Source organism: Homo sapiens, chromosome 5 (genome assembly GCF_000001405.40).
Source record: "Homo sapiens chromosome 5, GRCh38.p14 Primary Assembly".
Lineage (NCBI taxonomy): Eukaryota > Metazoa > Chordata > Mammalia > Primates > Hominidae > Homo > Homo sapiens.
Window position 1 is genome coordinate 109,724,720 of NC_000005.10, and position 22,599 is coordinate 109,747,318.

Genomic DNA, 22,599 nt, shown 5'->3' on the forward strand with positions numbered 1-22,599 from the left:
TCAAAACCATAGCAGTGTAACAGTGCTTTGTGGAGCGGGGTGCCTTCTTAGGGATGGGTGTTTTAATCATCTTAGGGCTCACAGATCCTCTTAAAATATAAGTATTTTGGAAACTTAAAGATAATGGACAATGATTATTAGGTATAGCATCAGAACAGAGAGTGAACATATTAAAGCTAATATGGTTGTATTATTTTATCTTTAGTTTCATTTCTAGCTGAAGTAATAAATTTGCATTTGTACTTTTTTCCTAGTCCTTTTGGCTATACCTTTCATTCATCTTATTAAGTACTTATTGAACTCTTGCTCTTATATGTTTGCAGTAGATACTAGATTAAGTTTGAGTGGTATGTGTGCTCAGGCCTGCTTCTAAAATTTGCAGGAACTGGGGCAAAGTACACAGAGGCCCACATACCCTGTGTTTAAACATTTAAGTTATAAATCAAAGAAATAAATTACTAAAGAAAAATAGGTCTTCTCCTCTTGCCTGGAGAAATAGCTCAGTGATCTAGAAGACCAAATGTAGGTTTAGATTGCTGTTGCTCTAGTTCCCCACTGGAATATGGTGGTGTGTATGGGGAGAGCCAGCCTGTGGGGCAGGCCAGCTGCCTTCTCCTCCCAGGCCTGGCCCTGTCCCAAACCAGGAAGGACCTTGATTGAAGCGGTCCTGGTGCCAGGTCTACACCCCTACAAACTACAGCCTCTTGGCCACTGTTTAGGCTAGAGAGGGTCGGTCCCATTTGTTAGGGTTAAGTGCCCTGATGGGGAGAGACTTATAAGAATCCCAGTAGGCTTCCAGTCTGGGGCTGTTTAGACAGATTTCTGGACCCTGGTACTCAGAAGGGCAGGGCAGGCTCTGGGTCAGTTTGTCCTGTGGATTTATCCAATTGAAAGGGGTGTAGTCAGAAGAATAGGGAGGTCCTTCTAGAGTCCAGGGCTCAGGGCCAGGTAACTCTTGCCCACATCCTCATGGTGGTACTTAGTGTATATGCCCTTGAACCAAATAAAACTAAATGTTCCTGAAGAGCATCAGAACTCCACATAATCTCTAGATTTCCAACCTATGGCTGAGAGCTCAAAATTTTAAAAATAAATTGTGATTTGTGAACAGTTACTAGGTGCTTAATTGTTCATGAACATTGAATGTAGACAATAGAGTTTCCAGCTTTATTGGCTTTTTTTATTTTAGAACTTAAAAAAAAATAGTGGTATCGAATTTGGGTTTATGCCTGCTTTGTGGAACTTGTAATTATGCACTCTTTGTTTTAAATATTTCCCCACTTATTTAAAATAGCTATTAGCTTTTTTATGGGTGGTAATAGTGTTAGAATGGAAAAGAATAAATTGAAAGGTATTCTTAATGCTGTTCTAGCCCTCGTTCAATTTTCAGGGATATTCCAACAGAAAGAAAAAAAGCTGTGAATTGACCACTTAAGTAAATCAGTTTGCAACTCAGTGTCCTAAGATTATTAAATCTAGAGGTAGGAATATAATTTTATGTCATGAAAATTCATCCCCTACCACTTTTTATAAAATACTATATTTCTGGTTGGTCTCATGTTAATATACAATTGTAGTTTTTACAGTAATTTAGAAAACGAAAGAACCAATTCAGTGTAAAAGGAAATACTTGATTACTCTGTTGTATAAGAGCAATAAAAGCTAATTTACTGTTATATTACTCAGTACTGAAAGCTGCAAGAGGCTATCTTTCAGTTCATTCTTCATTAATTATGCTGTATGGTGGTGATATCAGTATGAGTTTTATGGAACGCTTTCAGGTTGACCTCTCTGAGCTTGTATTTTGGCTCATGTGAATGTCTTTACCATATTTTCCTCATGATTGTTGAGGGGTGAATGAAGTGTTGAAGGCAAAATGGACTAATCAATCACTGTGATTCCTCTGTGAAAACTCCCATGATAAACTCTTTTTTGAAATGGCCTTAGTTCATTCATCACAGATTATAACTGTTGAAAATAAATAGTTGTGCTTAACAAAAAACATACAAAAAAACTTTTACTTATCAATCTTCATAAAGACTAACCCTTAAAAATTTGCCTTTTATGCTAGATTACTGGAGTTTTATTATCAAATTAATTTGGAGGCATTTCACTATTTATAGTTCTTTAGCTAGTAGCCAGATAATTAGGAATTAGTTTGAACCTTTAAATTTAGGTAAAAGATATCATGTGATATCTTAAAGACGATAATTCTAATAGAACCATTTCATTTACATGGTCCTTGTTGCACGTGTATAATAAAAGCACGGTACAGAAATAGATTTACTTACGTACATTTGAATTTAGCTCAGTTTTGCAATATGTAGGTAGATATAGTATATTCAGTTAAATATTATGTTGATATTTGATAAAATAAATTCTTCCCACATTGCAATCTTTATTTCTTGGATGGTAATGACGCTGATTTGTTCTAGGGCTGAATAAGTTTGCTAGGGCTGCCATAGCAAAGTACCAGACTAAGTGGCTTAAACAACAGAAATTTGTTTTTTTCACAGTTCGAGGCTAGAAGTCCAAGATCAAGGTGTTGGCAGGGTTGATTTCTTTTGAGGTCATCTCTCCTTGGCTTGTTGATGGCTGTCTTCTCCTTGTGTCTTTGCATGGTCTTCCTTGTGTATCTGTGTTCTAATCTCCTTTTGTTATAAGTACATCAATAGTCATGTAGGATTAGGGCGTATCTTCATGACCTCATTTTACCTTAATTACCTCTTTAAAGACCTGTCTCCAAATACAGTCACATTCTGAGGTGGTGAGACTTCAGCATATGACACAGATCTGTCCATAACAAGGGCATAGAGTGAATTCAGTGCAAACTGAAATTTTGGGTAACCAATATATGTTTTAAGATGTGGAGCAGTTTATATAAGTGTTTTAATTGTATACTTTACAAATTGGGTGTTCAGAATATTTTTTATTTCCCCTTTACCTAATTTAATTGTACAGATGTGGGAAAGGGCAGTTAAAGACTGATGATGATATCAGTTCTGAGCACTTGATGTTTTTTAACTTGGTAGTGTTGGTATGGTCATCAGGGAGTTAGGGCATCTGGGTTGGTTGGACTTTCTGGGCTATTCCCTGGGAATCCAGAGGTGGATCCTGGCTCAGTGCTCTGGGGGCAGTGTTCCAGGTTAGTACTTTGGTGAAGCTAGGTGGGATTCTTTGCAGACCACCATTTCATGAAATATCTTTGAGGTTTTAAAAATAGACACAGTTTTTTTTAGTTAAATGTGGAAAAATTGAAGTATCCAGGAGGTGTTCTTTGGTACCAAATCAGGTTAAAAGTGCCCCAGATCAAGAAAGTCCTATAAAGACTATTTGACATTATATTTCTATTTGGCCTATAGCTTCATACGTGCCACATTGTAGGTGCTCAGTAAATAATTGTAGGATGGATGAGTAGATTTCAATTAAAGCAAGAGGAATAAATAAGTCATAGCTGCAGTGCTCTTTTCAAAAGCTCATATTCACATTGTCAGAATAGTTTTGTCTTCTCTGCCCTGGCAGGCTTTTATTTTTTATTTATTTATTTATTTTTTGCCAGCAAATATAGTATACATATTAATTTAACTATATACAGATAAGAAACAGCCATTTGGACCCTCTTACTCTTTAATTCTCTCACATGTAAGTTTGGAAACAATAGACCAATAGTTCAGCTTGGATATACAGGAACTTCTCCTTATACGATTTTTTAGATGGGAACGGGTTATTTTTTAGGGGGTCTGCTTTGCCTGCCACCAGTAGACAGAATTGGTGGCTGTGTACGTTTTTGCTTGGCCGTTTTAGTAGTCTGCCTTGTGGTGCTATGTTTGCACCTGTTGGTGTTAAAAATGTTTCTTATAGCCAAATTGCAACTATCTTTAGATAAAATTTCCAGGATATTTGGAAAGTAGAGGAAAAAACAGGAGAAGCAAACTGTCAACATCTACAGTTCTCTTTTTGAAAAATTTTACCTATATGCATTCGCATTTGTTGTTTGATTAGTGTTACTTTGTGCTTCTAAGGAATTGAATAATGAACAGCTTTTGGGAACAAATGCCTGTATTTTGCAGAATTCTACCTCTCAGTGTTCATATTTATGGTGTAATTACCTTATTGGTCTGCTGAAAGCTTTTAGGTATAGTTTATACTTGCAATCTCTTTTTTCTTAGTTTAACTTATTTAATGGGTGAAGAATTTTAGATGTGGCATGAGAGGATAAAATTTGGATCCCCTATTAGGATAACAGTACTGCCAACTTGTAAACAGTGTTTAGATTTTTAAAATTCAAAAAAAATTCCTTAGAGATAAAAAATTGAATTAGATACTATAATTATTAAAATATAAATAACTGCTTTTTGGCCTTAGGTCATCTATCTTATTTTTCTCATTTCTATCTGAATTTGTGCAGTTTTCAGAGTGTTTTCATTGTTTTAATATTAGTGGGTTTCTGAGTCCCATGACAACTAAAATGGAGTTTCATTAATTGAAAACACCTGTTAAATTTAAAAATATGTCTATGAATGAAAATTCTAACGATGTCCAAAGTAATGCAATGGAATGTGACTGAGTTGAAATCAGCCATACGAATTAGACCTTTGTGGTATATTTGTGTCTTGATTTAGGTTGGTTGAAGACTTTCAATGACTACTTTAGAGACAAGACTCAGTATATTTTTAATAACATGGTCCTAAAGCTGAAAGAAGACTCACGGAGGAAGTTTATTTGGTCTGAGATCTCTTACCTTTCAAAGTGGTGGGATATTATAGATATTCAGAAGAAGGATGCTGTTAAAAGGTTTGTTTTAAAACTTTTTTGGAATTTGGTAATATTAAAGCTTAATTGTACAATGAACTAAGTATTGAATTTTTAGATGGTGAAAATTCTTAGCTTTATATTTGAAACTTAAAATATTTCTTCACATACCGTTTTCGTTGATTTTGGTTCATCTCTGAAAAAGCCATTTGAAACTTTTCCATTTAAATCCTGTGTTCCACTGGAAGCAGTGGCTTACTGCTGTAATCCTAGCACTTTGGGAGGCCGAGGTGGGCGGATCACCTGAGGGCAGGAGTTCAAGACCACTCTGGCCAACATGGTGAAACCTTGTCTCTACTAAAAATACAAAAAAATTAGCCAGGTGGTGCTCACGCCTGTAATTCCAACTACTCAGGAGGCTCAGGCACGACAATGCTTGGACCCAGAAGGCAGAGGGTTGTAGTGAGCCAATATAGTGCCACTGCACTCCAGCCTGGGTAACAGTGCAAGACTCTGCCTTGGGGGAAAAAAATCCTATGTTACAACTTTGTCCCACAAATGGAATTACTAGGTCAAAGTGGCTTAATAGTTTAAAAGTTTTTTTTAAGTATATAATTAAAGTGACACCTGTATAGTTTGTTTCAATGTATATTTCAATCTTCCATATAGAAAGTATCAATTTATTTGCTTTTTAGTCAGCAATATAATTTTTGAAGTTGTTGGCCAATTTGATGGTTGAAAAGTTTAATTTTAATTTTAATTTTTGATTGGTAACAGTGTTGCATATTTTCTCATACAGGTTAAGGTTTTTGTGACTTGCTTATTGTACTTTTTCTTACTGATTTGTAGGAGTATTTATACATATACTCCTTAACTCATATTTTTCCTCAGATTTTTATTTTCATCTTTTAGTGTTTGATATACAAAATTTTAACATATTTATCTACTCAAATCTGTTATTCTGTTTTCTTCAGATATTGCTTTTGCTGTCATGTTTTAAAAAGTTTTCTCCAATCTAGAGGTCAAATAAATAGTGCTTTTTTTCTTCCTAATTTCATTTTTTACCATTCACTTTTTAAAAAACTGATTAAAAAAAATACGTTACGATGGGAGGTTTTCTGATCTCCATGTATCCCCTGGAGTTAAGAATTATCTTATAATGAATTGTTTTCTTTAATTTATTTAATGTCACTTATACAGCGCTTACTGTATTAGTCCCTGTTCTAAGCACTTTACAAATTGTAACTAATAATCTTCTAAACAATTCTGTGAAATAGGTACAATTGTTATCATTGTTTTACACATAAGGACACTGAGTCGTCCAGGATCACAGGGCAGCCTGGCATTCCATGTAGTCCAGGCTGTCCACCTCCAGAGGCTGTCTTCTTTGCACACTGCGCCATCCTGCCTTCCTAAGATTGAATTAGTCCATCCTTTTCTAGTGATTTGAAGTGCAATCTTTATTATATTTAAATATGCATTAGTTTCTGGGCATTTTGACTTGTTTCATGGACTTTTCTGTTTGACTGTAATTGTTGTGCCTTTATAATATACTTCGTTAACTGACATTTGACGTTCCTTCTCATCTTTTTGTTTTTAATATTTTTAGTTATTATGGATACATAATAGTTGTACATGTTTATGGGGTACATCTGGTATTTTAATATAAGCATATAATATATAATCAGATCAGGGTCATTGGGATATCTGTCACCTCAAACATTTATCATTTTCTTGTCTTAGGAATGTTGGAATTCTCCTCTTTTAGTTATTTTGAAATATATGATACATTATTCTTTTTTTTTTTAAGCAATTGACCAATCAATTTTAATTAACTCATTCTGTATGACTATCATAGGCTATTAAAAATAGGAAAGCGTGTTTCTTTTTTTTATTATTATTATTATACTTTAAGTTTTAGGGTACATGTGCACAATGTTCAGGTTAGTTACATATGTATACATGTGCTATGCTGGTGTGCTGCACCCATTAACTCGTCATTTAGCATTAGGTATATCACCTAATGCTATCCCTCCCCCCTCCCCCAACCCCACAACAGTCCCCAGAGTGTGATGTTCCCCTTCCTGTGTCCATGTGTTCTCATTGTTCAATTCCCACCTATGAGTGAGAACATGTGGTGTTTGGTTTTTTGTCCTTGCGATAATTTGCTGAGAATGATGGTTTCCAGCTTCATCCATGTCCCTACAAAGGACATGAACTCATCCTTTTTTATGGCTGCATAGTATTCCATGGTGTACATGTGCCACATTTTCTTAATGCAGTCTATCATTGTTGGACATTTGGATTGGCTCCAAGTCTTTGCTATTGTGAATAGTGCCGCAATAAACATACATGTGCATGTGTCTTTATAGCAGCATGATTTATAGTCCTTTGGGTATATACCCAGTAATGGGATGGCTGGGTCAAATGGTATTTCTAGTTCTGGATCCCTGAGGAATCGCCACACTGACTTCCACGATGGTTGAACTAGTTTACAGTCCCACCAATAGTGTAAAAGTGTTCCCATTTCTCCACATCCTCTCCAGCACCTGTTGTTTCCTGACTTTTTAATGATTGCCATTCTAACTGGAGTGAGATGGTATCTCATTGTGGTTTTGATTTGCATTTCTCTGATGGCCAGTGATGGTGAGCATTTTTTCATGTGTTTTTTGGCTGCATAAATGTCTTCTTTTGAGAAGTGTCTGTTCATGTCCTTTGCCCACTTTTTGATGGGGTTGTTTGTTTTTTTCTTGTAAATTTGTTTGAGTTCATTGTAGATTCTGGATATTAGCCCTTTGTCAGATGAGTAGGTTGCAAAAATTTTCTCCCATTTTGTAGGTTGCCTGTTCACTCTGATGGTAGTTTCTTTTGCTGTGCAGAAGCTCTTTAATTTAATTAGATCCCATTTGTCAATTTTGACTTTTGTTTCCATTGCTTTTGGTGTTTTAGACATGAAGTCCTTGCTCATGCCTATGTCCTGAATGGTAATGCCTAGGTTTTCTTCTAGGGTTTTTATGATTTTAGGTCTAACGTTTAAGTCTTTAATCCATCTTGAATTAATTTTTGTATAAGGTTTAAGGAAGGGATCCAGTTTCAGCTTTCTGCTTATGGCTAGCCAGTTTTGCCAGCACCATTTATTAAATAGGGAATCCTTTCCCCATTGCTTGTTTTTCTCAGGTTTGTCAAAGATCAGATAGTTGCAGATATGTGGCATTATTTCTGAGGGCTGTGTTCTGTTCCATTGATGTATATCTCTGTTCTGGTACCAGTCCCATGCTGTTTTGGTTACTGTAGCCTTGTAGTATAGTTTGAAGTCAGGTAGTGTGATGCCTCCAGCTTTGTTCTTTTGGCTTAGGATTGACTTGGCGATGCGGGCTCTTTTTTGGTTCCATATGAACTTTAAAGTAGTTTTTTCCAATTCTGTGAAGAAAATCATTGGTAGCTTGATGGGGATGGCATTGAATCTATAAATTACCTTGGGCAGTATGGCCATTTTCACAATATTGATTCTTTCTACCCATGAGCATGGAATGTTCTTCCATTTGTTTGTATCCTCTTTTATTTCATTGAGCAGTGGTTTGTAGTTTTCCTTGAAGAGGTCCTTCACATCCCTTGTAAGTTGGATTCCTAGGTATTTTATTCTCTTTGAAGCAATTGTGAATGGGAGTTCACTCATGATTTGGCTCTCTGTTTGTCTGTTATTGGTGTATAAGAATGCTTGTGATTTTTGTACGTTGATTTTGTATCCTGAGACTTGCTGAAGTTGCTTATCAGCTTAAGGAGATTTTGGATTGAGACGATGGGGTTTTCTAGATATACAATCATGTCGTCTGCAAACAGGGACAATGTGACTTCCTCTTTTCCTAATTGAATGCCCTTTATTTCCTTCTCCTGCCTAATTTCCCTGGCCAGAACTTCCAACACTATGTTGAATAGGAGTGGTGAGAGAGGGCATCCCTGTCTTGTGCCCATTTTCAAAGGGAATGCTTCCAGTTTTTCCCATTCAGTATGATATTGGCTGTAGGTTTGTCATAGAAAGCTCTTATTATTTTGAGATACGTCCCATCAATACCTAATTTATTGAGAGTTTTTAGCATGAAGTGTTGTTGAATTTTGTCAAAGGCCTTTTCTGCATCTATTGAGATAATCATGTGGTTTTTGTCTTTGGTTCTGTTTATATGCTGGATTACATTTATTGATTAGCGTATATTGAACCAGCCTTGCATCCCAGGGATGAAGCCCACTTGATCATGGTGGATAAGCTTTTTGATGTGCTGCTTGATTCGGTTTGCCAGTATTTTATTGAGGATTTTTGCATCATTGTTCATCAAGGATATTGGTCTAAAATTCTCTTTTTTGGTTGTGTCTCTGTCAGGCTTTGGTATCAGGATGATGCTGGCCTCATAAAATGAGTTAGGGAGGATTCCCTCTTTTTCTATTGATTGGAATAGTTTCAGAAGGAATGGTACCAGTTCCTCCTTGTACTTCTGGTAGAATTCGGCTGTGAATCCATCTGGTCCTGGACTCTTTTTGGTTGGTAAGCTATTGATTATTGCCACAATTTCAGCTCCTGTTATTGGTCTATTCAGAGATTCAACTTTTTCCTGGTTTAGTCTTGGGAGGGTGTATGTGTCCAGGAATTTATCCATTTCTTCTAGATTTTCTAGTTTATTTGCGTAGAGGTGTTTGTAGTATTCTCTGATGGTAGTTTGTATTTCTGTGGGATCGGTGGTGATATCCCCTTTATCATTTTTTATTGCGTCTATTTGATTCTTCTCTCTTTTCTTCTTTATTAGTCTTGCTAGCGGTCTATCAATTTTGTTGATCTTTTGAAAAAAAAAAAAACCAGCTGCTGGATTCATTGATTTTTTTGAAGAGTTTTTTGTGTCTCTATCTCCTTCAGTTCTGCTCTGATGTTAGTTATTTCTTGCCTTCTGCTAGCTTTTGAATGTGTTTGCTCTTGTTTCTCTAGTTCTTTTAATTGTGATGTTAGGGTGTCAATTTTGGATCTTTCCTGCTGTCTCTTGTGGGCATTTAGTGCTATAAATTTCCCTCTACACACTGCTTTGAATGTGTCCCAGAGATTCTGGTATGTTGTGTCTTTCTTCTCATTGGTTTCAAAGAACATCTTTATTTCTGCCTTCATTTTGTTATGTACCCAGTAGTCATTCAGGAACAGGTTGTTCAGTTTCCATGTAGTTGAGTGGTTTTGAGTGAGTTTCTTAATCCTGAGTTCTAGTTTGATTGCACTGTGGTCTGAGAGACAGTTTGTTATAATTTCTGTTCTTTTACGTTTGCTGAGGAGGGCTTTACTTCCAACTATGTGGTCAATTTTGGAATAGGTGTGGTGCGGTGCTGAAAAAAATGTATATTCTGTTGATTTGGGGTGGAGAGTTCTGTAGATGTCTGTTAGGTCCACTTGGTGCAGAGCTGAGTTCAATTCCTGGGTATCCTTGTTAACTTTCTGCCTCATTGATCTGTCTAATGTTGACAGTGGGGTGTTAAAGTCTCCCATTATTATTGTGTGGGAGTCTTAAGTCTCTTTATAGGTCACTCATGACTTGCTTTGTGAAACTGGGTGCTCCTGTATTGGGTGCATGTATATTTAGGATAGTTAGCTCTTCTTGTTGAATTGATCCCTTTACCATTAAGTAATGGCCTTCTTTGTCTCTTTTGATCTTTGTTGGTTTAAAGTCTGTTTTATCAGAGACTAGGATTGCAACCCCTGCCTTTTTTTGTTTTCCATTTGCTTGGTAGATCTTCCTCCATCCTTTTATTTTGAGCCTATGTGTGTCTCTGCACGTGAGATGGGTTTCCTGAATACAGCACACTGATGGGTCTTGACTCTTTATCCAATTTTCCAGTCTGTGTCTTTTAATTGGAGCATTTAGTCTATTTACATTTAAAGTTAATATTGTTATGTGTGAATTTGATCCTGTCATTTTGATGTTAGCTGGTTATTTTGCTCGTTAGTTGATGCAGTTTCTTCCTAGCCTCGATGGTCTTTACAATTTGGCATGATTTTGCAGTGGCTGGTACCGGTTGTTCCTTTCCATGTTTAGTGCTTCCTTCAGGAGCCCACTGTCTGGCACTCTCTAGTGAGATGAACCCGGTACCTCAGATGGAAATGCAGAAATCACCCATCTTCTGTGTTGCTCACACTGGGAGCTGTAGACCGGAGCTGTTCCTATTTGGCCATCTTGGCTGCTCCCTGCACATTATTCTTAACTATATTAAAAAGTTCTTTCAATGAGTGAACATTGAATTTTGCCAAAGTGCTTTGTAATTAATTTGTTAAATTCTTCGTACTCCATCAAAAAAGTAATCTTTTTGGATTTTGATGAAAATTGATGTAAACATTTAAAGATAATTTGGGGAGAATTGACTTTTTATAATTTCCATTGGAGTTTTTTTTTTTTTTTTTTTTTCCCTCTTGATAGGAGGCTTAAAATGCTTACAGGTTTGACTAGGAAGTGAAGGGTATATTTTCTACCAGTACTGGGATTAATTAACTACCTCATCCAAAGGGGCTAGCCACATCCACTCTAGGCATGTGCTGCTACTGGAACCAGAGTTGTCAGGATATCCCTCCAGTTACTCAAGACAAACTAGAATTCCAAAATATTACGTAAAATACCTAGAGTTTTTACACTGAAATGTTAGCTATTAATTTAGATTAATATACCAGGATATGCACACATATGCATGCATAAACACACACACACAGAGTTGCAGACACACTCACACAGTGCTAAACAGATCACATCAGCATTTCTGAATCTGTAGTTTAGATACACTAGTTTGCAACCTTTTAAACATTAATAACTGTCTTGGAAAACCACATAAGCATTGATATTTGTTTTATAAAGGCAATTTTTTGATTAAGTTTTAAATTTTTTGTCAAGTGCAGTGGCTAATGGCTATAATCTCAGTGACCTGGGAGGCTGAGGTAGGAGGATCAACTGAACCCAAGAATTGGAGGCTATAGTGAGCTGTGATCATGCCCCTGCACTCCAGCCTGGGTGACTGGGCAAGACCGGAACTCTAAAAAAAAAGTTTTTTTTAGGTCTTTAGGTGTTACCTTACTTCTTGAGCATGAAAAATATTTCGTATTTTCTAAGAAAATAATTTTATAGTTACTCAGATTGTTTCTGATTTTAAGAATTTATCCCATGTGTAGTTATTTTTGCTTTTTTGTTACTTGTTTTGGGAATCTGATTTTTTTCTTCATTTTGATTTACTTAATTTTGTTGGTTTTTGCCCACCTTACCCTCCTAGAACCTGTTTATATTTTACCAGTTTTTACTCTTGACCTATCTGCTTTCATCTTTCCTAATTCCTTCTACTCACTTTCACTAATGCTAAATGAGCCAGTCCACTTAATAAGTTCATCTGTGTGTTTACCTTTTAGCAATAGTCTGACTAGCTTTTATGTTTTTATATGCTATTTTCTCATTATTGTATTTTTCCTACATATTTAATAACTGTACTACTGTTTTCTTTTTGACTTAGGTATGTTAGAAAAATAATTTTCAATTTGCAAGTGCTATTTTTTCCCAGTTATACTTTATTATAAACTAGCTTTAATGTCTTATGGCCATAGAATATGGACTGTATACTCTTTTTTTTTTTTTTTTTTTGAGACTGAGTCTCGCTCTGTCACCCAGGCTGAAGTGCACTGGTGTGGTCTCAGCTCACTGCAACCTCTGCCTCCCAGTTCAAGCGGTTCTCCTCCTTCAGTCTCCTGAGTAGCTGGGATTAAGGCACCTGCCACCATGCCTGGCTAATTTTTGTATTTTTAGTAGAGACAGGGTTTCACCATGTTGGCCAGGCTGGTCTTGAACTCCTGACACCTGCCTTGAACTCTGGTCTTGAACTCTTGAACACCTGCCTCAGCCTCCCAAAGTTCTGGGATCACAGGCATGAGCCACTGTCCCTGGCCTGTATACTTTTTATTCTTTAGAGATTTTTGAATTTTTTTTTTTTTTGTTACTTAATGTGTGATCAATGTTGATGAAGCTTCTACTGGTGTTTGAAAAGGTGGGGTTTGTAGAATATAGAGTTTGGTATCTGCTAATTCCGTATTTTACAACTACTGTTTTTATCTTCGTACAGTCAGTTTTGCTGTCATATTGCATACACGTTCTTAAAAATAATGTTATGCAAAATTGTGCAATATTAAACCCAGGGCTCATGAAAAAGTATCGTTAGAGTGTAGCACTCTAAAACTTCATTAGTGATGTAGACACACACAGAACATGGAAACCTAATAAAGATGCTAATCCAGTTTTACCTGTGTTAAATTGGTTAAAAAATGCATAAATATATATGTCAGTTTACCTTGAAAAAGGCCTAAAGTTTGCTTGTGGAAGGGTGTATTGGAAGGAGTATAGATTCGAGTTATTACTGAGAAGTGATGGCAAGTAGGTTAGCTGAAATCTTTTGGAAAGTTGAATAGCAGATGTGGATGACTGTGGCTCATAACCCTTGATGAACTGAGGGAGCTGGTAGATGTTTGAGGTGTGTGCGTGTGCTTTGTGCATTCCTTATACAGCTTTGTTCAGCTGCGTGAAGTTTTGTACCTTCATCTAATGTTTCTTGGAGACTAAATTGTGCATAAGCAAGGCAAAATTTATTTCCTCATGTAATCAATCACCTGGGAACTCATTCCCATTTTTGAAACAAGTGTTTATGGCAGAACTGACTGTACTTATTTTTTGCTACTGTTCCCCTATCAGCTTTTATTTTTTGGGTATTTTATGTTTTTTTTTTTTTTTTTTCCATTCTTGCCTGATCTTTGTTGGCTTCTGTATTAGCTCATTCATTCATTCAACAGACACTTCCCGAACGTCTACTATGGGACAGGGACTGCAAGGTGGGCACTCCTAGACTAAGATTTATTTTTCTTCATTGTAAACTGTATGTATCATCATTGATACCATCTTTTCTCTTTTTTATAATTAATATTGTTATACTACCACTCTTTTGTTGTTCGTTTGCTTGAGTTTGCTGTCCTTTTTACTTGAAGGACAGTCAGCTTGGTGGTTCTAAAGGCTGGGAACTGGAACCAGTCCGCCTAGGTTCAAATTCTGCCAAGTCCCATCTACTGTGTGGCTTTGAGCAAGTTATTTAACTTCTCTATACCTCAGTTTCTTCATTTGTCAAATGAGGATAATATTGAAACCAATTTTATTTGGTTTTTGTGAGGATTGAATTAATTCAGACAACATGCTTAGCACAATGCCTGGCACATTTTAAAACCCCAATAAACATTAGTGCTTTTTTAACTTTTATTTGAGACTTTGAGTATTTCTCCTGGATACCATATGTAATTTTTAATGCTGAAGTCTTCTATAATGGGAGACTTTTCTTTTAGTTTTTGTTTTTTTTTGAAACAGGGTCCCACTCTGTTCTCAGGCTGGAGTGCAGTGGTATGATCACAGCTCACTGCAGTCTCAACCTCCTGGGCTCAGGTGATCCTCCCACTTCAGCTTTCCAGTAGCTGGGACTACAGGCGCACACCACCACGGTGGCTCATTTTTGTATTTTTTGTAGAGATGAGATTTTGCCATGTTGCGCAGGCTGGTCTTGAACCCTTGGGCCCAAGTGATCCACCTGCCTCAGCCTCCCAAAGTGCTGGGATTACAGGCATCAGCCACTGTGCTCAGTCCGTATAATGGGAAGATTTTAACTGTAATTTTTTTTTCTCTTCTCTCTTAAAGCTTTCTTATATAATGCTTCATTGAAGGTAACTTTTTCCCCATGCTCACTTACTTTATTTATGAAATTTCAAATTTTCACTAAGTTATATATCTAGGTAGTATAACTTTTCATTAAGATTTCCACCTATCAATTCAAATGTTTCTTTAGCTTATGTGTTCTGTACTTACTGATTTACTACTGCTTTTGTTTCATTTGTTTTAGAATTCAAGTACGTTGTTATTGTGTCTCTAGTCTCTCTTTTTCATATGCATTTTTAATTTGTTGTATTTACTGTGTTTTGGGAGATTTTTCCCAAGAGTCTTCCCTGCCACTCCCTCGGTTCAGTACTCTGGTATTGAGTCTTTTCTGGCTTTGAGTATTTGGTTCTAACTTTACTTCTGTGCTTTTTGTATTGTTGTCCGTAAGTCCAAGTATTTCCCTCCTTTTTTATTTATCCGTGAGCAGCAACAGCTGTATCCACACCTGGAATTTGTCCCAAAACATGGTGTAACTTGCCTTGAATCCCTTTCTTTTCTAACCATATACTTTCAGTTTCCTTGCTGTGGGTACTAGTTATTACTGGCTGACCAGCATCCACTTCACCTGATTTCCTTTTGGGAAGTGGTCTCTCACCCAAGGAAGTCAGCTCCTCTTCCTTGTTGCCTAGCCCAGACAAGTCAGCTGTGACCTGAGCTCAGTTAATCAGCATATTATTTCCCAGGGCTTTGAATCTTTAGAGAGCGAAGTGAGGGCTGACAGATGGAGGGAGGGAAGCAGACACAGAAGAATGTTTACTGGTCATTCCTCACAGCACCTTGCATTTGCAAGACTCTTCCTGTAATAAGATCCCTGTGTTCCCTGCAGCATGATTTCTCATTTTCCTCCAGCCCTTTGTTAAGCCTGGACTTTTAGCCTGTCTTCAGTTCTGTGTGTTCAAGACAGTATCCAGCATCAGTTTGTATTGCTTGCAAACCAGAAAGCTAGCTGATAGGAACTTACAACGTCTCCTTAGTTCCTCTGTTGGAGAATTACATCCTGCAAGATTATATGAGAATCAGGGATCAGCAGTTGGGGAAGGTGTCCTGGTTGTAAATAGGACAGAGTGAGAGAAGAGAGGAGCTGGGGCTATGAGAAGATCTGGAAAAGGAGTGCCCCATCTATGAAAGGTTTTCTGTTTCTTTGGTGTAGCTGCTGAGCCTGGGGCTGGCTTTCTCCCTCTAGCTTTGTTTTTGTGTGGCCTGTAAGCCAGGTAGGAGATGTGTGTCTGAATGTGCTGCTTCACAGAGTCCAGCCACCTCAGAAGGAAACTGGGTCTGCTGCTGGCTGCTTGTGGTCAGGTGAGGCCAGCCATGCTTGGCTCTCTCCCAGCATGGCTTCATTAAGGAGACTGCCTCTGCAGCAGTCACAGTGCATGGGCAGAGAGACTTCTGCAGAGGGGGACTCACACAAGTGCCATGAGGGCGAAGAGTCTGTGATTAGTATCTGTCCCAAGACTCAGCTTTGCCTCAGCCCTTGGCCCTTCAGTTTAGGAGCTGTTGACCGAATCTCTCAGAATCTTCTTATTTATGCTGGGATTCCATGCTGATTTTTCATGCAGGGCAGTTGCAGGTCAGTACTTGAATTATTTCAGTTTTACTTTTACCATATCTGTCAGAAATGCTGCCAATTTTATGGCCTGCGGATGGCCTGTTTCTCCTGACTCTACCTGGATGCAAATTTTCCTCCCCTCTCTCTTTTTTTTATTCTGTTGGTTATTTTTCTTAGGTTGAACCATATAAAATTGCCAATATTTGACTACTTTTGATATACAAAAATGGCAATTTCATGCATCAGTCCAATATTACACATAAAATATGGTAAGATATTGGAGGGGACTGCAGATTAGAATCTAGTGCTCAATCTTTGTCTCACTCAGATTTGTCTCACTCAGATTCCTTCTGAGTGAGAACAGCTTTTTTGGCATTGGAAAATATTCTGGAATACAGGCTTGATCGTGAACAGTATCATTTTGCTTGAAGGAAAAATGGTTTTATAGCCAGATTAGTGCAGATGAATTCTGTTTCTGGTCAAGATTTGCTAAAGTTCTCTCTCTTCTAGCTGTAATAATTCACTTTTATTCACTTATTACATTTGTTTTTAGAACTAGGGTAATAGCATTCCCCCCCACTTACTTGAACAAAACATTCTTAGTGTTAGTTGCTTAAATGTATGTTTTTGGAGGAAAACTTAATAGATATTTAAGTTTGCTCCTGTTATTTAAATTCTGAGCTTGTACTAAGTGGCATTACTAATAGATTTTTTTGTGTGACTTCTAGTGTAATGCTTATGCAGTGGCTTTTCTCTTTTTGAAGATGAGCTATGGATTAAATCTGTACCTAAATTTGCAAGCTAGCTGTTGCAGAGCAGAACCTGTTAATTCCAGCAGAGTTCCACGTAAGCTTTCATTGTCCCTGAAGAATACCAATTGATTGTGGGAACTTAACAGAAACAAAACTCAAATGATCCTTATAATCTATTCTAGCAGTGACTTGTTTGATTCTTATCCCCTCCCCCAGCAGCATTATTATTCAACTCTATAAGCTTTTAAAAGTGAAAATCTAGTTAACTAAAGAGAGATCTACGTAAACAACATCTATATTTTCTGTTTTTTTGTGTGATCTGAAATAATTTAATCAATTATAATCATAGTACCTACTGGTAATACATATCCAGTGGATTTAAAAGAAGCTGCCTTCCATTAAATAATCAGTGTATTGTTTTCTATGCTTGTTTTATTTTGAAAATGACTGGTGGTGTAATTTTTTAAAACTTTTTAGGCTTCACATTTGAATATTTTTTGGCTAAATGCAGTTAAATACTGCATGATGTTTATAATACATCAAAATGTGAACCCTTATTGAGAGTCAGGCAGCTGAAACATTAGCCTTAGCATTTCCTTTGACTAGCACACAGCATGTTACATATTCATTGTTCCTCTCTGGGCTCTGAGATATTGGAACAGCTTTTATATTGCATCTGCTCTTGCTATTGAGACCAGTGTTGAGTGGAGAAACCCACGAATTATTAGAACCTAAGAACAGTTTATATATTCACCAAAGTCTTGACCAGTTTCTCTTTGTGGATCTTTTAGTGTGAAAAGGGGCTCCAAATGTGTGCTGAGATGAAGGTACCATCAGTTAGTATAGATTTTTTATCTTCACCAAATTGGTGGGTTTCATTGCTTTAGCAAGAATGCAAACTCTTTATTTATATAATCTTTGTACTATCTTCTTACAATTTTTCCCCTAGGTTTATATTTAAGTGAACCTTCCACTGTCTTCTCAACTATCTCTGCTTGCTTCTTGAAATCAGAGAAATATTTGATGTTACATTTTTAAATAAGAATCCAAACTTAACTAATGTGCATCTTGGGTTTTCTAAGAAATTGGACTATTAATCTTCCTAAACAGACTAATTCATTATACGTTTTATACAGGTTGGATTTTATGGTATTTAACTGAAGGTTGCTGTAAAATTTATAGAGCAATGGGAAGTTACAGTGTGTCTTGTGATATTCAGAGTCATTTGCAGATTTGGATTGAGTTTAGAATCTAAAGATATTTAGCATTTCATCAAAGCACTGAAAGCAATGCACCAGGGTCTAAAATAACTTTAGTTCTAATAGTTGAAGCAGTGGTTTACGTTTATTTTAGAAAGCATATGTTCTATCCCTACCTTTTCAATTCCAGTTCGTCTTGAGTGAGACGGCTATCCTTCCACCTCTCATTCCCTTCAACCACTGGCATCTATTTATGTCATGGAGACCTGTAAAAGCCATGAGGGACTTCTCAGGTGCTCTGCCCATCCCTTGGATACTTTCTCAAGCCTCAGAGAGGATTTTTTTGCAGCATTGACATCGATCACTCCATTCTCCTCGAAATTCTGTCCTCTTTTGGCTTTGAAGTGACCTTGAGCTCTTTCACTTTCGGGTCTATTCTGGCACTGCTGACCATTCATTTTTCATCACCTCTCTGATTTCCTCTTCTGCTTACTTCCCCAATGTTCCTGTTCTCGCCTGTTGGGGAACACTGCTTAGTTTTCTTCATTTTGCATGCTTTTCCACACTGTTGTTTTAATTACCAGGCATTTGGACTACTTCCAGATCTAAAGATCCAACCTGGACTTCTTGTTCTCTAGTTAGTGGCAATAGTAAGAGATAAGCACTCGTTTAATTATTCAGCCAATCCTGTAGCATTCTCTTGAGTTAAGGTTCTTTATCATCTTCATTCTCCTGTTGAGGAATCTGAAGCAGAGGTGTTAAGGAAAGTGCCTAAGGTCACCCAGCTAGTAAGTGTGGAAATAGGACCCAAGCCAGGCAGTCTTGCCCCAGAAATAGTGGGCAAATAATCTTCACCTCTGTGGTGCTCTGCCTTTCCACCTCCCTTTCCTGTGACATCCAGTTAGTCCCTAAACTCTGTGACTTCTGCCTCTTCAGTGTCTCCAGACTCTGACCCCTGCTTTTCGTCTCCATTGCTCTTGTCTCGTACTATTGTGAAAACCTCCAAATGGCCTTTCCATTTCCAGCTGTGCCACTTCTAAGTGTCTGCCATTTCATCAACAGAGTTAGTTTTCTAATATGTGAGTCCCACCATGTTTGCTTTAAAATGCTTTGTGGTGCTTCAGTCTCAAAAGGCACAGGCCACTATCCTTTGCCTGACACATACTGACTTTTTCTGTCTGATTCCTCCCGACTTGCTCATCCTTATCTCCAGTCACTTCCTGCTTCACACTCTACTCAGGCATTCTGAGCCACGGGTGTCCTCAGACACATGCCGTTTTGTGCTTCTTAGGAATTTGCCTGTGTTCAGCTTGGATTTTTATTTTTTTCCTTTTGTGCAGTGGATAATTTCAGTCTTACTCATTTTTAACACTCAGCTGAAATATTACCTCATCTCTGAAACCTTCCCTTATTTACTTCTACCATTCATTCAGCAAATATTTATTGTGTTATGCTCCAGAAATGTAGGAGGTAAGCAAGACTGACCTGGTCCCAGCCCTCAGAAAACAGCAGGGAAGACATGTAATTAAACACAGTATAATAATAAAGGGTTTTCTTCTATAGAGGCAAGAAGGGGGTCTTGGAAGGCCTCCTGAAGCAAATGATATTCAAGCTTAAACCTGAATGATGACTAGAACTAGCCAGTCAAGAAGTGGGTGTCAGAGGGCAGAGAAGGAATTTTAGGTTGTGAGAAGAGAATGGTGATTATGGGCCAGGGATTAACAAGGGCATGTTTGAACATCTGAAAGATGTTTATTAGACAGCAGCAGTTGGGGAGGGTGGGCAGCGAGGGTGTGTGTGTAGAAGCTGGGTAAATCTTGGCCATCAGGGAGATACATATCAAAACTTCTAGAAGATACTGTTTCCAACCCTTTTAGAATGGCTAAAATAAAAAAGATGACAACGTCAAAAGTTGGCAAGAATGTGTAGCAACAGAAACTCATATGTTGCGGGTGGGAATGCAAAATGGGGGCGACTTTCTGAAAAGCCTCCAAAGAGTTTTCCAAACTTAAAATATATACCATGTGATCTGGGGGCTCCACTCCTAGCAATTTACCCAAGAGAAATGAAAAAATGTTCACAAAAAGACTTGTACAGACATTTTCATACAGGCTTTTTCCTAGTAACTTCAAACTGCAAGCAGTTTAAATGTCCTTCAGCAGGTGATGGATTAAAAAATTGTTGTATATTCATACAACAGAATACCTAGCAGTAAAAAAATGATAAATTACTGAAATACACAGTAATATGGATGAGTCTCACAAATGTTCAGCAGAAGAAGAGAGACAGAAGAGTAAATATTGTTTGATTTCCATTTTATGAATTCTGAGAGGAGACTCAACTGATCTATTGTGATAGAAATGGAATGTCAGAGTGTTTTTTGGGGGCAGGGTGAGTGGGCGAGCATGGATTGGAACGGGGCATGAGGGAACTCTCTGAATTGGTGGAAGTAGTCTATATTATTTTGGATAGTGATTACAGTTGTCACAATTCATGAGACTGAAAATATGTGTATTGTATATTGTTATATCTCAATTAAAATATTTTAGAAAATGTAATACAATATAAACATACAATACAATAAATACAATAATATAATACAATACAGTAAACATAATGATATATGTCTCTCTTGATATGGAAAGATGCTCATGGTATAATGTTAAGTAAATTAACTTGGTTAAAAACTCTGGCTCCCATAACCCTTTGTGCATATATATCAAGGTAGTGAGTTTTTAAATTTTATTCTTTAACGTCTTTCACATTTTTCAACTTATTTTGAATGAGTATTTTATGAATAAAGTATTGTTTACTATACAGTGAAAGATTTAAAGTACATCCCCTGCTTATTAAAACTTTGCAGAAATTATTGAACCATATGAGAAATTTATTTTTATTTCTATTAAATTAAATTAATTAATTAATTTTAGAGACAGGGTCTTTGTCACTCAGGCTGGAGTGCAGTGGTACTATCATAGCTCACTGCAACCTCAAACTCCGGGCTCAAGTGATACTCTACCTCAGACTCCTGAGTAGCTAGGATCTACAGGTGCAGGCCACCATGCCTAGCCAATTTTTATAATTTTGTAGAGATAGGTTTTACTATATTTCACAGGCTGGTCCTCAAACCCCTGGCCTGAGGTGATCCTCCTGCATTGGTCTCCCAAAGCACAGGGATTATAGGTGTGAGCCACTGCACTTGGTCCCAAGACATTTTTAAATAAATTTTCATGACTATTTTTAAGCTACAGTTCTGTTACTTTTTTTTGTTTGTTTTGTTTTGAGACAGATCTTTACTCTGTTGCCTAGGCTGAGTGCAGTATTGCAGTCTTGGCTCACTGCCACCTCTGCCTCCCAGGTTCAAGCAGTTCTCGTGCCTCAGCCTCCCGAGTAGCTGGGATTACAGGCATGTGCCGCCACACCCAGCTAATTTTTGTATTTTTTGTGGAGATGGGGTTTCGCCATGTTGGCCAGGCTGGTCTTGAACTCCTGACCTCAAGTGATCTGGCAGCCTTGGCTTCCCAAAGTGCTGAGATTACAGATGTGAACCACCGCGTCTGGCCTCAGTTTTGTTAGTTTTCAGTGCTTAGGAGACACAGGTTATAGCATTTATAGTTCAGAAAAAAATTTAGTTTAATTTACTTTTTAATATATGCCCCAATATATACAAAGGATACACAATGAAAAGTAAGGTACTCAGCCACTCCTGTCTCCTTGTCATTTTGCTCTTTTCACAGGAGGTAACTACTATGACCAGGCTCTTATTTATTTTATGGATGTATGGGAAAACATATGCACATGTACATAAAGGCATAGGCATATATATTATACAATGATAGCATGCCATGCACATTGTGCTGGTTTTTTTTTTTTTTTTTTGAGTGGGTCTATTTTTTAAATTGTAAATAAGCATAACATAAAATTTACTATTTTAACAATTTTTAAGTGTACAGTAGCATTACAACATTTACATCATTGTGCAGCTGTTACTACCATCCATCTCTAGAACTTTGTCATCACCCCAAATGCAAACTTTGTACCTGTTGAACAGTAATTCCCGTTCCTCTTGCTCCTGGCAACCACTGTTCTGTTTTCTGTCTCTACAAGTTTGACTACTCTATTAGGTGCCTTATGTACGTAGAATCATATAATTTTTGTCCTTTTCTGTCTGCCTTACTTCATTCAGCATAGTATCTTCAAGGCTCATTCATGTTGTAGCATGTATCAGAATTTCTTTCCTTTTTAAGGCTACATGATATTCCCCTGTATGTATTGAAAGTAGTGACAAAAACCACAATTACTTTTGCACCAACCTAATACATACCACAGCTTATTTATCCATTCATCCTTTGATGGACATTTGGGTGGTTTCTACGTTTTGGCCACTGTGAATAATGCTGCTGTGAATATGAGTGTGCAGATATCTGTCCAGGTCCCTTCTTTCCATCTCCAGAAATGGAACTGCTGGATCACATAATAATTCTATGTTTAATTTTTTTTTAATCACTGTCATTTAGGTGTATTTTTTTGGCAGAGTAAAACATTTAAATATTTTACATAGACATAAATATGAGCATGATAAGCATTGACATGAAAATGGCAGTAAT

The 22,599-nt window shown here is 37.2% G+C and overlaps 1 protein-coding gene across 5 annotated transcripts in view; it reads left to right on the forward strand.

Annotated features, from left to right (window-relative positions):
* The window catches only part of MAN2A1 (mannosidase alpha class 2A member 1), a 179,699-nt gene that overhangs the window by 34,793 nt on the left and 122,307 nt on the right, over positions 1-22,599 (forward strand). For all 5 annotated transcript variants that reach the window (XR_007058604.1, NM_002372.4, XM_011543395.4 and 2 more), the window contains one exon: positions 4,623-4,794. Coding sequence is in view for 4 of the 5 variants with exons in the window: in NM_002372.4 (NP_002363.2) it covers positions 4,623-4,794 (172 nt within the window). In the remaining variant the exon portion in view is untranslated. The remainder of the gene's footprint in view (positions 1-4,622; positions 4,795-22,599) is intronic.